A 17,033-nucleotide genomic window follows, 5' to 3' on the forward strand; every position below is an offset into this window, starting at 1 on the left:
TTGCATGTGCTTAGACAAGTATTACTTAATCTAGGAATAGTGTTATATTTGGAGCCCTAGGAGAAACAATACATTTCTTGGGATATTTTAGAGTTATCAAATGTCTTATTAGGAGTTGGGAGGGAGGCCTCTGTGATTTTAATTTTTAATGGTATTTAAAATGATTAATATTTATTATGACTTCTGTATGATACAAAAGGAAAAACTGATCTTAGAACAAAAAGATATGGATTTAAATTCTGGATTCTTAGTAGTGATTTGAGATTGACTCTAACTCCTTGAACTTGTCTTTAAAATGGGCATGATCATACCTTTCCTACTTTTATCCCCAGTAACTATGAAGATTAAAAGGAAATTGATGTAAAGGTAATATAATCATTGTAAAGCACTTTTTAAATGTAGATAGAGTAGTTCACATTATTGCTATATACTGTATACTACATAGTAATAGGTAGATCTCTCCTGGAAAAAGATATATGTTAGATTTAATACACTGCTGAGATAGCAGAGTTACATAAAAATGATAAATGAATTGGTTTTCTGGATTTTTATGATCTTCACTTTTTTCATCTACTCATATGGAGCTCTTTTCCTTTTAGATTCAGGTTTTATGAATCTGCTATACATTTTGTATGTCCATTCATCTGTCTTTTAAACTAGTAATACTTAAATATTTAAGACAAACCAAAATGGTGATCTGAATTATGATCTGAGTTGAAGTTGGCATATGCAAGAGGACAGATCTGTAACCACCAGTCTCTAGTTCTGGCTTCCAGATTTTCAGATGCTTACATTTCTTCTCAAGTATTTCAGCTGGTGTGTGAACTGAAATATTTGTTACAGCTTTAATGTTATTTTCAGTGAATGGGAGCGCAAAAAATGGTAGATGGCAACATACAGTGTAATTGAGGCTTATTGTTTGGAGAATGGTTCTTAAAATCTACAAAGAGTCCTTGTTGAGTTCTTTTTAATCAGTAGCCCAGCCCATGCATATATTAGCCAGTTTTGAACTTAGAAATAAACTAATTTGAGTCCTAGCTAAAAATAGATACTCCAAATATAGTTGTTTTTCTTTTCATCTATAAAGCTTTTCATTTCATTGTAAAAAATATCCATGTCATGAAGCTTCCGCGTGAGTGGTAGGTGATTTAAAAATGACTTATCATCATCATCACCTAGATTTTTTTTAAAAAAGAACCAGTATTTTTACCCTCATGTAATAAGTTAAATATGTATTCTTTTAAAAGTTTGACTAGAATCTATATGATGATCTCCAAGCTATAGAGAAAATAGATGGAGGCCCTGCTAAAACATTCTAGACTGAATGCAGTTATTAAAAGTGAAAAACTATTGAATGGAGAGACTTTCCAAAGACTCAGTTTCTATTTGAATATGATTCAGATGAATACTTTTATATATTTCAAGGACTTTTGTAATCTAATTATGGTTAATTAGCTTGACTTAAGGTAGCAGTAGCACACTTTTAGAATACAAAAGATATAAAACCCAAGGCATAGCTTTCTGAAAAGTTTGAACTTGGACTTTTATAATGTTTTAAAGAATTATGTCTAAATCGCATTATATAATGGCCGAATAAACTTTTACATAGAAAATATACTTTTAGTATATTAGGCATATGGGTTAATTGTTAGGTTAGTGATAATTTAAACTACTCTGCATAGAGTAATAGGAGCCTATTTTATATTTCTATACTTACTTTTAAAAAATGAGATGATTGGCATCCCATATTTCATTTGATTACTTTATTACTCAGGTTGTGTTCTTTTTCTTCCATATAGCAAATCATAGTAATATTTTTTATTTCACTGTGACAATGCTTTAGAGAAAAGATGTGTGTGTGTGCGTGTGTGTTTTATATTAGATTTTTTGTTATGTCATTTAAGAGGAAGCTAAGAACTCATGATGTTATGACTATTCTTAACACTAACAAACCCCTTTTAATCTCCAATATTCGAAGTATTTAATAGAAGCCTATTAGGAGAACTGTCTTGTGTCATAGAAATGTGGATTCAAACCCTGTAAATATACAAACTTACTGAAACAAAGACATGACACCTGGCTATTACCAGATCTCATTGGTATTGTTTAATTCACAATTTTTTTTCTTTCACCGGTCCAGCCACTTTTGGCTCTGGAATAGCATATACTCCAACTGCAGTTCATTACAGCCATCAGTCAAGAGCACTTTGGCTTACTATTTTGGTGGCAAATAATAATAATAATAATAATAATGACTTTACACCTTTTTTAGAGCCGAATTATAAGTGATGTGGCTTTAGATTCTCAGATTTCATTTTTCAGGCTACCAAATAAATAACAATTTTAAAATTAGACAAATTTTATTTATTTTTCAGACCACGTTGATGAGCGAACAATATGCAATGGAATTGCCCCAGAAAAAGATGTAGATGGATTTCATATTATCAATATTGGAAGATTGTGCCTTGATCAGCATTCTCTCATACCTGCCACTGCCAGTGCTGTTTGGGAAATAATAAAAAGAACAGGTTGGTAATTTGTGGTCTGCAGGACATGGATGCTAGGTGCTGAGCTGAGCCTTTGTGCACTGAGACTTGATGGGACTACCTCAGTCCTATAGAGTGACAGAAAATCATAATCCATAAAACGTCAGTGTACAGAGAGATATAAAATTGTAGAAGTCAAAACATAATACAATCCTGGCTAACACAGTAAAACCCTGTCTCTACTAAAAATACAAAAAATTAGCCAGGTGTGGTGGCGGGCACCTGTAGTCCCAGCTACCTCGGAGGCTGAGGAAGGAGAATGGCATGAACCTGGGAGGCGGAGCTTGCAGTGAGCCGAGATCATGCCACTGCACTTCAGCCTGGGCGACAGAGCAAGACTCTGTCTCAAAAACAAAACAAAACAAACAAAACAAACAGAAAAAAAAATCCAAAATAAAATGAAACGAAGAGCATTAGCCAGATTATAGATAACTGCAGTTGCAACTTATAGGAAGTGAATTTTCCACATAGTAGTGGTATATGTCGGCCTTTAAAATGTAAACTTCATGCATTTTGATGAAAACTTTTCTAAAATATATTTTTCTGTACCTTTAAAAATATGTTCTGATCACATAGTTATCATTTCTATTGGCTTGGGTTTTAATTTTAAACATTTACCCTTGTACTGTACTGGATACGGTAATGCTCTCACAGACTCTTACAAAAGAAGTTTTCTTTCTGAGAAAGAAAAACTTCCAAGGGAAAACAGATCCTAGAATCATACTCCTACACTGTTAGTATTGGAAAATCCTTAGTTCTAACTTCTTTGCTTTACTTATGAAGAAACTGAGTCCAAAAGAAGTAGAAGGTTCTACAGGCTTTATTTTTTTACATCTTTCTAAGTCTGTAAGTTTAGTGCTTCTTTCCTATGGAGTAAAATGCATGAGCTTTGTGAAAAATGCCTCTTTTCTTACTTGTTTTGTTCCAGCGTTGCTCAAAATTTGATTGCCAATTAAGTTCGACATTGTTGTACTTTGCTTTTTTTATAAGCAGTTAATATATGTTAAAACTCTACTCTTCTAACTCTTAATGTGACTCTCAATGTTTAAAAGCAACTTAATGTCAACTTAAGAATGTCTGTGGTTTTTAATGAGTACATAATCAGAGAAGAAGTGACAAATCAAAGAAGCATAAAATGAATTATTTATAAATAATGAATGTGCTCATATTATAGATAAGCCACATAATAATTCAGATTTAATTAGAAATTTTTAAAAGAATGTTTCAGTTGGCTGTACAAATGTTTAATTTACTTCTTGTTGTCAATTCTGCATTTAAACCGAACTCTGTATTTTAAGGAATTCAAACATTTGGAAAAAATGTGGTTGTGGCTGGAAGATCCAAGAACGTAGGGATGCCTATTGCCATGCTTTTACACACTGATGGAGAGCATGAACGGCCAGGAGGTAGGTAGAACCTTGCAGATTCTACACTCTCTCGCAGTATTCTTACTTCTTACATCATCAAGTAAACACTTTTGATAATGCAGCTTATTATATTTGTGGGTTTATGCAGTTCAAAGTCTCCTTTATTCCTCATTTAGTGATGTGAGAGTCTTGAAAGTGACTGTAGGAATTACTGAAAATATGTGGCCATTTTCTCTATTTTTTTTTTTTTTGGCTATATGCACTTTGTTTAAATAATTAACAATTAGACATTAAGAAAGGTGCAAAGCTACTAGATACAAAAGATTCACATGCCCTCAGGAAATACAAAACAAGACATCTCTTGGATGTAGAATTCCTGTAGTGGCAAGGTCTTAGCACTTTAGAAATCAGCTAGTTAGTTTATTTTACAGACAAGAAAGCTGAGGCTTAGAGTTGTTATCTGATTATATAGGTTAAACAAATAGTCATTGTCCTATGAGTAGTAGTGACACTCCAAGTCACTGACAAAGCCCAGGAAGATGTGTTAGCCTTAGAGAACATGCAGCCATTCCAGGTGTTGGTCATCTGAACATCATCCCAAGACCTTGGTTTCTTCAGCAGTCTAATAGCTAGATACAGAATAGCTCCCCAGAAATTTGCAGGGGTCTGTCCCACAGACCCTGACCCAACGATGGATGAATAAAGTACACTGACACACAGATATTCTGCTTTACCAGTCCAGCTGAGCATCTGGGCCGCTTACAGACTCCACGCACAGTGCTGTAAACAGTTGCGACTATGGTCTCAATCAGTCAGCAAGACTTATGTTTATTCAGTAAAGATTAATTGACAAAGGCTTGGGTCAACACCACTAGAGTGTAATTGACATTGTGGACTTCCCAAGTAGAAAGCAATTAAGCACCCATGGTAGATCAAAGGTTAGTCTTAGGACCACACGAGTAAACAAGCTAGTTAGGTAAACTCTCCACATTCCTTTATTTCTACTCTAGTTTATTTAACTAAAGATAAGGGGACTAGGCTGCCTTCAGACTGATTTATTACTGAAGTTATGCAAACCCTCAGACCTTCCAACAAGGTTTGTGGCTATTAAAACTAAAATTTTTCCCACCAGCCTGACTGAACCACCACAGAAATGGAAATGGAGATGGAATGAAAAGGAAATACAGCAAAGGGGTGATGGGGCATTGTTCGTGGTTGTCTGAGCCAGTGCTGTGGGAGGAGGGCACAAGGGTTATTCAGCGTATCACTGTCTGCTAAATTCTGCATCTTGTTCTAATCTAGGTAAAACACCAAGTTTTCATGTTCTTAATAGAAGTAGTTATTGGTTTATCTATGTGTTAGAGACGTGTTGTACTTTGTTTACCATTTATTACTTCTAATCTTTCTCCCCCTAATTTTTGATACAGTACTTCATTGGTTTCTCTAATTCCAAAGAAGAGGATGGGCTACTTTGCTGCTTGCTTTCTAATATTTAACCAGAATGATAGACACCTATGTGCTCATCATGTACAGCACACGCACACATGCACACATGCATGCACACACACAGCATATATATATAGATTTCTTATTATTAACCTTGTTGAATTCGAGTTTCCTGATCTCAAACTTTCAATAATACTTGTTTTAGGATCTTGATTGACATGATACTTATGACATAATTTTTAAAACACAAAGCTCTATGGAAAAATAATCCCAGTATTAACTTATCTAAAATGATGAATGATGACACTTTTGAATAATATTTTCCCTTTCTATGCCTAAAGAATTAAATATTGCCAGAAATCAATACATATATATATGTGAATCACAGTAAATTAAGACTTGATAATGACTCCAGATAACTTTAAAAAGCCTTAGTTTTGAAGAGCTCTTAGCCCAAATCCAGTGGTATGACAGTTTTCATGGTACCCATCTCCAAAGTTGCATTCCTAGTTTCACTGTTCACTTCTAGCTTAGTCTATTGCTGCTTATCTCTTTCTCTCTCTCTCTGTAAATAAAGATAGTGATTCTTATTTGCCTTTATGTAATAATTTCTGTGTCTTACCTAAGCAAGGTGTATTAGTCTGTTCTTGCATTGCTGTAAAGAAATACCTAAGACTGGGTAATTTCTAAAGAAAAGAGGCTTAATTTGCTCACGGTTCTGCGGGCTGTACTAGAAGCATGGAGGCATCTCCTAGGCCTTTACGAAGGCCTCAGGAAATGTATAATTGTGGCAGAAGGCAAAGGTGGAGCCAGCATTTCTCATGGCTGGAGCAGGAAGAAGAGATGGGGGAGGTGCCATACACTTTTAAACAACCAGATATCATGAGAACTCACTGTTGCAACAATAGCACCAAGGGAGATGGTGTTAAATCATGAGAAAGTGCTCCCATGATCCAGTTACCTCCCACCAGGCCCCACCTCCAACACTGGGGATTACAATTGAAAGTGAGATTTAGGTGAGATTCCTGTTCCAGCCATATCACAAGATAAAACAATCAGTAATGTTTACCTAAGTATACTATTTCTTCTTGGAAAATTTTGACCAAGAGCCAATTTGCAGTTTTTTTTTTTTTCATTTGCAATGTTGTTTTTATCTGTAACATAACAAGCAACAGTGTATTGCTCCGTGATTTGCTCAGTACTTTCTCTTAAACCATCCTCATTAATTCTCAGTAATCCTAGCATATATTAATGTTATTCCCATTTTACAGCTAAAGGAAATGAGCTTTAGAGACTTCAGAGGACTCATCTAAGGCCATGCAAGGAAACAGGCATTCTGGGGAGCTGGGTTCTGACTTTGTGGTTAAGAGGATAGACATGGAGTCAGGCCCCCTCCATTACCAAGCCCTGTGATCTCGGGCAAGTCATTTAATCTGTGTAGGCCTCCGCTTTCCTCATCTCTAAAATGACAATAATATTAATATCTCCTCAACTTGGTTATTGTGAAAAGTAAATGAAATATTAATGTAAATCACTAATTACTGTGCCTAACATATAGTAAGTTAAGTAAGCTATTGGTGCATGTAGCTGTGGCATTATTACACTTAAGTCAATAATAATCTGTAGCCATTCTAACTATCATGTGTGAAGTAACATGATCTGAGATTAATGATGTGATTTTTACCTTTATTTGGATTTTATTTTCTTCTGGTGGATTTTGTTTTTGCATTTTTTGGATCATATCTGATCTTTTCTGTAAAAATTTGAATAAACTCAGAATTTATAAAAGTTTATAAAGTATTTGATTAGAAATAGGACATCATAATTCTCCAAATAGTACTTTACAATATATTTTTAATAGGTATCAATATATTGCATGCTAATTTCTTGATAAATTTCAATCTTGAATTATATATTTGTCTATAAAATACCTATCAAAATTTATTTACCTCTTTTATATGCAATTTTAAACTAGGTTATCCTGTGAATTAAACATTTTAATTTATTTTTTATCATGTATGATTTATTTATAGATGCATACATATGCAGTAAAAGCAGTAAAGGAAGCATGAGAAAGATAAACACAAATTGATGGTGGCAGTGACCTCTGGGGAAAGAATTATAGGATAAAAACAAAAACATATATACTTTAAAAAGTATACTTCGTGTTATGAAATATTCTCATTTGAATGCATGTTAAAATGGAATAAAAGTAGAATAAGTTATAATACTGGTTACTTAGAAACCAGATAATTAAACTTACCTTTATTATAGTGGTACCTGGGTGCCGTTAGAATTACAGTAACTAAAAGGTAACAAATTATACTAAAAATGATATTGGAAGATTTGCAACATGGGTGGTTTTTAGTCTCATGCATATTTAAGAGGAGTATGATGACATGTATTATTAATATAATGAATCATTGAGAGCTGCTTACTGAAGGTTTGGAGTCTGTGGGAAAGTTAATATTTCAAACATGCGTGTCTGTTAGGGCAATAATTATGGGCAGTGACTCCATGTGCATTGTTAGCTAATGAAGATAATGAAGGAGGACTAACTCGGCAAATGCATATCTATAGAACTTGTTCTAATGACACTCAATGTTGAGCATTCAGCTCATGCCGTGTATTTATTTCTTTTCCAGAAGACATGCAGAACCCTAGTGATTCGTTTTTGTCTTAAAGCCAAAGATAATTGTACTAGAAGAAAAATGACCATACTGTAATTTAGCTTGATTAATATGTGTCTACCTATGGCTAGCTTTTAGTTTTGTTATTAAGGACATGGATCCTAGCTGTTTCTTGAGTATTTTTTTTAATTCCCCAAGGGCTTGAAATATTTAGAGGAATGAGAATGTGCTAAAATCTTAAAGTAAAGGGATAGTGCTGACACTCAATACAACAAGGAAGCAAGGAAGGAGTTACCTTCTGGTGAGAACAGACCATCACAGAAGGCTTTGCAGAGGATATAGCACTTTAGCTGCTATGTAGTTTATAAAGAGTAGGTGAGAGATGGTTCCTGTCCTCCCAGAGCTATAGTCTTGGTGGTGGTGATGGGGGAACAAGGGGATATGATATACAAGTATGGGTAATTTAAATTTTAAATAGTCAGTGGCACAAAATAAAATTTGGTATCCCTAAATAAACATTCTATATGCTTCTCAAAACTCATGGCTAATTGAGGTGACATGAAGAGAATGAGCTCCACTAATTATTAGAATGTTTGAGTACCATTGTGACCACCTGTAGATCATTGTATATTTGTAACCAAACACGAGTCCAGATGCTCTCTGCTTGTGTAGTTCAACAAGAGCAAGGCCTGGTAGAAAGACAGTAACTTTATTAACCAAAACTAGTAAAAAAAAAAAAAAGGGAAGCAGCCAGATTTCTATCCAAAGTAACTCCTTTGATTTGGGGCAGGGTGGTGGTGGAAGGCAGAGGTTTAAAAAGGGAAAACTTGATAAAGAAGGCATGTAAGAATTGGGTGGAGTAAATGTCTGTGTGTCTTGTTCTGGTGGCTAACTTGGGTCGCAGTCCAGCTGGAGTGTGGGCTGATGTCATCTCAACAACGGCTGGGTTGTTAACCAGGGGCCTTGAAGTAATCTCTGGAATTTTGTGGCTGGGTCTCCAGACTTAGTCTGTCTGTCTCAAGATTAGCTCCTGGAACTTCTAAGAAGGCACATAATTAGATACTAGCATACGGTTAGATAGATATGAGGGGAGTATATACTGTGAGAAAGGGAGAGATGTGGAGTCTTTTTTAAGGCTAAGGAAAGTCTTCTGTAATTTGCCTCAAGGTTGTATCTTGAAACCCAAGAGAAAGAAAAAAAAAGTTGAAAATGCATTTTGAAGTTAAGCTGCCCAGTTACATTTTTTTTTTTACTTATTTGTATGTAGTCATCTACCAGTTTCACTTTCTTTCAGAATGAAAACTGAATACCATTGGTTTTAGCATAGTGTCTTTATTTTTAGATTTACAATGAGGAAGTAAAGTTTCCAATTTCTCTAAAACATTTATTTTTCCTTCAAGATTACAAATTGTCATAATGACTAAGGCATTATGGTTACTAACTGTCATAAGAGGATATAGAATCAGATTTTATTTCATATTCTTTTATTTTAATTTTGAATTTTTACTTTTGAGACAGGGCCTCACGCTGTCACCCAGACTAGAGTTCAGTGGCATGATCACGGCTCACTGCAGCCTCAACTTCCTGGACACAGGTGATCCTCCTGTTGGGAGCACGGTTGTTGGGACCACAGGCACACACCACCACACCCAGATAATTTTTTGTATTTTTCGTAGAGATGGGGGTCTCCTTATGTTGCCCAGGCTGGTCTCGAACTCCTGAGCTCAAGCAATCTGCCTGCCTCCACCTCTCAAAATGTTGAGATTACAGACGTGAGCCACTGCACCCAGCCTCATATTCTTAGAGTAAGTTTCTCTTGGCATACTTTTATTTCTAAGTAGGACATATCTTCTAATTAGGTGAGATTTCCCTAATCAGCCACAACATGGAGTTGTATGCCGCTCCTTTGACTAAAAGGTTCTGGCATCATTGGAGTAATATTGATGCTGGCTGATTTTTAAAGAGTATTTTGACAGGGCCAGCAACCAGCTGGTTTTGCTTAGAGTCCAGTGGGTCTGGTGTTTTTCTTGATTTCATTCAGCCAATACTCATCTAGTACTTATTATCTGGGAAACACTGTGGGATACTACTGCATCCCACAGAAAAAGACTTAGTCCTGTCTCTCCAAAAGTTGACAGTCTGAATCATCAGGATTCATCTTTGCAGTGGGTGTTTTCCGAAGGCACTGCCTCTGCATTGGCATTCAGTTTTCACACTCAAGCTGTGCTGCTGCAGCAACTTACTGTATCTCAGGTAGTTTTTCTTCAAGAGGCACCCTATCTAAATGGAAAATGACAATGATTTTTGCCAGTTGAATGCCTTCCCTTTGTGAGAATTAACCCCAGTTGTGAAAAAGAACTTTTTTTTTTTTTTTTGCCAGCCTGGAAGTTTTATCTCCCACCTACAGGACATAATAACACAGTAGTGGATGCTTGAGGCAGTGCAACGTGATGTGAGTGGTATGTGTGATTAAGCTCAGCCTGGTGGCAGGTTGAGCCAAGCTCTTTTAGGTTTCAAAGAGAGGAGCCAAATAGGAACGCCTAGGAATGCAGGAGTCATGCAAAGTGATCACACCACTGAGACTGACACTCTTAGTCTTATTGGCAGTGGAGTGGCTTGGGATGTTTGCTGCCTCTGGGGAAGGAACCATTGTCTAACTGGGACAGGGGATGGCAGGTATTTAGTCTCTGCCACTCTCATCCCACTACCCCCAGCTTAGAAGGAAAAGATGTTGGGGATATTATGTTTTGTGATGTCTCTACATTGATTAGACTTTACTGAATTACATATTTGAATTTGGGTAGTGGAAGACTGTAGAAAAGAGCAAATGATAGTTCTATTCTCATTTTCTAAATTGAATAATAGGAGCACTGTTTCATTTTCAGTGTCTTCTAAATTCAGTGTCTTCTAAATTCTAAATTTCATTTTCAGTGTCTTCTAAATTCAGCCATTTAGTATCTGCACAGCACTGCACTTGGAAATTATACATTATTATCAGACAACTGGCACTATCACACTGTTGAAAAGAACAGTAAAGCTTATTTTAAATGGAGAGTGAAGTCCGAATCTTTTTCTTTCAATTCCTCTCTTTCTCCATGACCTCATAGTGTTGTAGGACATTTTTCTAAGTTCAGCTAAAAGCCGAGTTCTTGTCATACAACCAGGAAAAATTAGGTTTGTGGACACATAAAAGGGTGAGAAAAATGGAATTTATTGGGTGAAAAGGAAAAACTCAGTAAAGTGAGAAGGATTCCGGTTAACAGGCCCAAATCTCACCAACTGAATCCCAGATTACCACCCAGGAACAGGAAAGGCCAGGCTCCTACCATGGCAAATGGCATGAATTTCCATGGCTCCAACCCATTCTCTCAGAGCGCCACCCAGTCAGAAGTTCTCTGAGGAGCCCTTTTTGCTTGGCTGTCTCATTTCGCCCTCTAAAGAAGTACATCTAACTGCCATTAGAATAAGGATTGTGATAAGGACAAAGACCAATCTTAACTGCTTGCTGCTGACAGAGGGTGCTGTTTTGGGGAAATGTCAGTCCAGTCTCCCTCAGAAGCCTATCTAAGGGTCCCCGGCAGAAGGGGTCATTGTCTGAGGCTCCAGTTGCTTGACCATTTGGAGTATGATGGCCTGCAGGTGAGAAGAGACAAACTGGATTATTAGAAAACATGTATCAAAACAAAACAAGTTGGGGCAAGGACAGCTCAAAAATCCTAGACCTTTTACCAGTTTGCACAGGGAGAGTGAGGCCAAAAGCCTGACTGGTTAAAAAACAAAAAAACAAAACAAAACAAGAAAAACGTTTAAGTTCTGGGATACATGTGCAGAACGTGCAGGTTTGTTACATAGGTATACATGGGCCATGGTGGTTTGCTGCACCCATCAACCTGTCATCTACCGTAGGTATTTCTCCTAATGTTATCCCTCCCCTTGCTCCCCACCACCCAACAGGCCCAGGTGTGTGTGATGTTCCCCTCCCTGTGTCCATGTGTTCTCGTTGTTCAACTCCCACTTATGAATGGGAACATGTGGTGTTTGGTTTTCCGTTCCTGTGTTAGTTTGCTGACAATGATGGTTTCTAGCTTCATCCATGTCCCTGCAAAGAGCATGAACTCATTCTTTTTTATGGGGGCATAGTATTCCATGGTGTATATGTGCTACATTTTCTTAATCCAGTATATTATTGATGGGCATTTGGGTTGGTTCCAAGTCTTTGCTGTTGTGAATAGTGCTGCAATAAACATATGTGTGCATGTGTCTTTATAATAGAATGATTTATAATTCTTTGGGTATATACCCAGTAATGGGATTGCTGGGTCAAATGATATTTCTGGTCCTAGATCCTTGAGGAATTGCCATGCTGTCTTCCACAATGGTTGAACTAATTTACACTCCCACCAACAGTGTAAAAGCATTCCTATTTCTCCACATCTTCTCCAGCATCTGTTGTTTCCTGACTTTTTAATGATCTCCATTCTAACTGGCATGAGATTGGTATCTCATTGTGGTTTTGATTTGCATTTCTCTAATGACCAGTGATGATGAGCTTTTTTAAATATGTTTGTTGGCTGCATAAATGTCTTCTTTTAAAAAGTGTCTGTTCATATCCTTCACCCACTTTTTGATGGGCTTGTTTTTTCTTTCTTTTAAATTTAAGTTTCTTGTAGATTCCAGATATTAGCCCTTTGCCAGATGGATAGATTGCAAATTTTTTCTCCCATTCTGTAGGTTGCTGTTCATTCTGATGATATTTTCTTTTGCTGTGCGAAGCTCTTTAGTTTAATTACATCCCATTTATCAATTTTGGCTTTTGTTGCCATTGCTTTTGATGTTTCAGTCACGAAGATATTGCCCATGCCTATGTCCCAAATGGTATTGCCTAGGTTTTCTTCTATGGCTTTTATGGTTTTAGGCCTTTTGTTTAAGGCTTTAATCCATCTTGAGTTAATTTTTGTATGAGATGTAAGGAAAGGTTCCAGTTTCAGTTTTCTGCATATGGCTAGCCAGTTTTCCCAACACCATTGATTAAATAGGGAATCCTTTCCCCATTACTTTTTTTTGTGTCAGGTTTGTCATAGATCAGATGGTTGTAGATGTGTGGTGGTATTTCTGAGGCCTCTGTTCTATTCCATTGGTCTATATATCTGTTTCGGTACCAGTACCATGCTGTTTTTATTACTGTGGCCTTGTAGTATAGTTTGAAGACAGGTAGCATGATGCCTCTAGCTTTGTTCTTTTTGTTTAGGATTGTCTTGGCTATACGGGCTTTTTGTTGGTTCCATATGAAATATATTTTTTTCTAATTTTGTGAAAAAAGTCAGTGGTAGCTTGATGGGGATAGCATTGACTCTTTAAATTACTTTGGGCAGTATGGCCATTTTCATGATATTGATTCTTCCTGTCCATGAGCATGGAATATTTTTCCATTTGTTTGTGTCCTCTCTTATTTCCTTGAGCAGTGGTTTGTAGTTCTCCTTGAAGAGGTCCTTCATATCCCTTTAAGTTGTATTCCTAGGTATTTTATTCTCTTTGAAGCAATTGTCAATGGGAGTTCACTCATGATTTGGCTGTTTTTCTGTTATTGGTGTATAGGAATGCTTGTTATTTTTACACATTGATTTTGTGTCCTGAGACTTTGCTGAAGTTGCTCATCAGCTTAAGGAGATTTTGGGCTGTGGTGACAGGGTTTTCTAAATATACAATCATGTCATCTGCAAACAGAGACAATATGACTTCCTCTCTCCCTATTTGAATACCCTTTATTTTTTTCTCTTGCCTGATTGCCCTGGCCAGAACTTGCAATATTATATTGAATAGGAATGGTGAGAGGAGGGGATCCTTGTCTTGTGCTGGTTTTCAAAGGGAAGGTTTCCAGCTTTTGCCCAATCACTATGATATTGGCTATGGGTTTGTCATAAATAGCTCTTATTATTTTGAGATACGTTCCATCAATATCTAGTTTATTGAGAGTGTTTAGTATGAAGGGGTGTTGAATTTTATTGAAGGCCTTTTCCGCATCTATTGAGATAATCATGTGGTTTTTGTCTTTGGTTCTGTTTATGTGATGGATTCCGTTTGTTGATTTGCATGTATTGAACCAGCCTTGCATCCCAGGGAGGAAGCCAACTTGATTGTGCCAGTTAAGCTTTTTCATGTGCTGCTGGATTTTGTTTGCCAGTATTTTACTGAGGACTTTCACATTGATGTTAATCAGGGATGTTGGCCTGAAATTTTCTTTTTTTGTTGTGTCTCTGCCAGGTTTTGGTATCAGGATGATGCTGGCCTCATAAAATGAGTTAAGGGGGAGTCCCTCTTTTTCTATTGTGTGGAATAGTTTCAGAAGGAATGATACCAGCTGCTCTTTGTACTTATGGTAGAATTGGGCTGTGAATCCATCTGGTCCTGTTTTTTTTTTGGGTTGGTAGGCTATTAATCACTGCCTTAATTTCAGAACTTGTTATTGGTCTATTGAGGGATTTGGCTTCTTCCTGGTTTAGTGTTGGGAGGGTGTATGTGTCCAGGAATGTATCCATTTCTTCTAGATTTTCTAGTTTATTTGTGTAGAGGTGTTTATAGTATATTCTTCTGGTAGTTTGTATTTCTGTGGGATCAGTGGCAATATCCCCTTTATCATTTTTTGTTGTATCTATTTGATTCTTCTCTCTTTGCTTCTTTATTAGTCTGGCTAGTGGTCAATTTATTTTGTTAATCTTAAAAAAAATAGCATTTTTTAATACTCCTGCATTCCTTGATTTTTTGAAGGGTTTTTTGTCTCTATCTCCTTCAGTTCTGCCCTGATCTTAGTTATTTCTTGTCTTCTGCTAGCTTTTGAATTTGTTTATTGTTGCTTCTCTAGTTATTTTAATTGTGATGTTAGGGTGTCGATTTTAGATCTGTCCCACTTTCTCCTGTGGGTATTTAGTGCTATAAATTTTCCTCTAAAGACCACATTAGCTGTGTCCCAGAGATTCTGTTACATTGTGTCTTTGTTCTCATTGGTTTCAAATAACTTATTTATTTCTGCCTTTATTTCGTTATTTACCCAGTAGTCATTCAGGAGCAGATTGTTCAGTTTTCATGTAGTTGTGTGTTTTTGAGTGAGTTTCTTAATCCTGAGCTCCAATTTGATTGCACTGGGGTCTGAGATACAGTTTTTTATGATTTCCATTCTTTTATATTTGCTGAGGAGTGTTTTACTTCCAATTATGTGCTCAATTTTAGAATAAGTGTGATGTGGTGTCGAGAAGAATGTATATTCTGTTGATCTGGGGTGGAAAGTTTTGTAGATGTCTATTAGGTCCGCTTGCTCCAGAGCTGAGTTCAAGTCCTGAACATCCTTGTTAATTTTTTGTCTCATTGATCTGTCTAATATTGACAGTGTGGTGTTAAATTCTCCCACTATTATTGTGTGGGAGTCTAACTCTCTCTGTAGGTCTCTAAAAACTTGCTTATGAATCTGGGTGCTCCTGTATTGGGTGCATATATATTTAGGATAGTTAGCTCTTCCTATTTCATTGATCCCTTTGCTATTATGTAATGCCCTTCTTTGTCTTTTGTGATCTTTGTTGGTTTAAAGTCTGTTTTATCAGAGACTAGGATTGCAACCCCTGCTTTTTTTTTTTGCTTTCCATTTGCTTGGTAAATATTCCTCCATCCTTTTATTTTGAGTCTATGTGTGTCTTTGCACGTGAGATGGGTCTCCTGAATACAGCACACTGATGGGTCTTGACTCTTTATCCAATTTGCCAGTCTGTGCCTTTTAATTGGGGCATTTAGCCTGTTTACATTTAAGTTTAATATTGTTATGTGTGAATTTGATCCTGTCATTATGATGCTAGCTGGTTATTTTGCCCCATTAGTTGATGCAGTTTCTTCATAGTTTCCATGGTCTTTACAATTTGGTATGTTTTTGCAGTGGGTGATATCAGTTTTTACTTTCCATATTTAGTGCTTTCTTCAGGAGCTCTTGTAAGGCGGGCCTGGTGGTGACAAAATCTCTCAGCATTTGCTTATCTGTAAAGGATTTTATTTTTCCTTCTCTTATGAAGCTTAGTTTGGCTGGATATGAAATTCTGGATTGAAAATTTTTTTCTCTAAGAATGTTGAATATTTGCCCCTACTCTCTTCTGGCCTGTAGTGTTTCTGCAGAGAGATCTGTTGTTAGTCTGATGGGCTTCCCTTTGTGCCTTTGTGGGTAACCTGACCTTTCTCTCTGGCTGCCCTTAACATTTTTTCCTTCATTTTAACCTTGGTGAATGTGACGGTTATGTGTCTTGTTGTTGCTCTTCTCATGGAGTATCTTTGTGGTGTTCTCTGTGTTTCCTGAATTTGAATGTTGGCCTGTCTTGCTAGGTTGGGGAAGTTCTCCTGGATAATATCCTGAAGAGTGTTTTCCAACTTGGTTCCATTCTCCCTGTCACTTTTAGGTACACCAGTCAAACATAGGTTTTGGTCTTTTCACATAGTCCCATATTTCTTGGAGGCTTTGTTCCTTCCTTTTCATTCTTTTTTCTCTAATCTTGTCTTCTTTCTTTATTTAATTAAGTTGATCTTCAATGTCTGATATCCTTTCTTCCACTTGATCAATTCTGCTATTGATTCTTGTGTATGGTTCACAAAGTTCTCGTGCTGTGTTTTTCAGCTCCATCAGGTCATTTATGTTTGTCTCTAAACTGGTTATTCTAGTTAGCAATTCCTGTAACCTCTTTTCAAGGTTCTTATCTTCCTTGCATTGGGTCAGAACATGCTCCTTTATCTCAGAAGAGTTTGTTATTACCCACCTTCTGAAGCCTACTTCTGTCAATTCATCAAACTCATCCTTCATCTAGTTTTGTTCCCTTGGTGGTGAGGAATTGTGATCCTTTGGAGTAGAAGAGGCGTTCTGGTTTTTGGAATTTTCAGCCTTTTTGTGCTGGTTTTTCCTCATCTTCGTGGATTTATTTACCTTTGGTCTTTGATGTTGGTGTCCTTCGGATGGGGTTTTTGTGTGGACGTCCTGTTTGTTGGTGTTGATGCTACTCCTTTCTGTTTGGTAGTTTTCC

At 36.7% G+C, this 17,033-nt stretch overlaps 1 protein-coding gene across 20 annotated transcripts in view; it reads left to right on the forward strand.

Annotated features, from left to right (window-relative positions):
- MTHFD2L (methylenetetrahydrofolate dehydrogenase (NADP+ dependent) 2 like) overlaps positions 1-17,033 on the forward strand; it is a 188,540-nt gene that overhangs the window by 82,859 nt on the left and 88,648 nt on the right. For 19 of the 20 annotated variants that reach the window (NR_147097.2, XM_047415712.1, XM_047415715.1 and 16 more), the window contains 2 exons: positions 2,376-2,528; positions 3,845-3,952. Coding sequence is in view for 18 of the 20 variants with exons in the window: in XM_047415712.1 (XP_047271668.1) it covers positions 2,376-2,528; positions 3,845-3,952 (261 nt within the window). In the remaining 2 variants the exon portion in view is untranslated. Of the gene's footprint in view, positions 1-2,375; positions 2,529-3,844; positions 3,953-5,045; positions 5,216-17,033 lie in introns of all 20 variants that reach the window. The other variant, XR_001741223.3, reaches the window with a different exon arrangement.

Source organism: Homo sapiens, chromosome 4, assembly GCF_000001405.40.
Source record: "Homo sapiens chromosome 4, GRCh38.p14 Primary Assembly".
Lineage (NCBI taxonomy): Eukaryota > Metazoa > Chordata > Mammalia > Primates > Hominidae > Homo > Homo sapiens.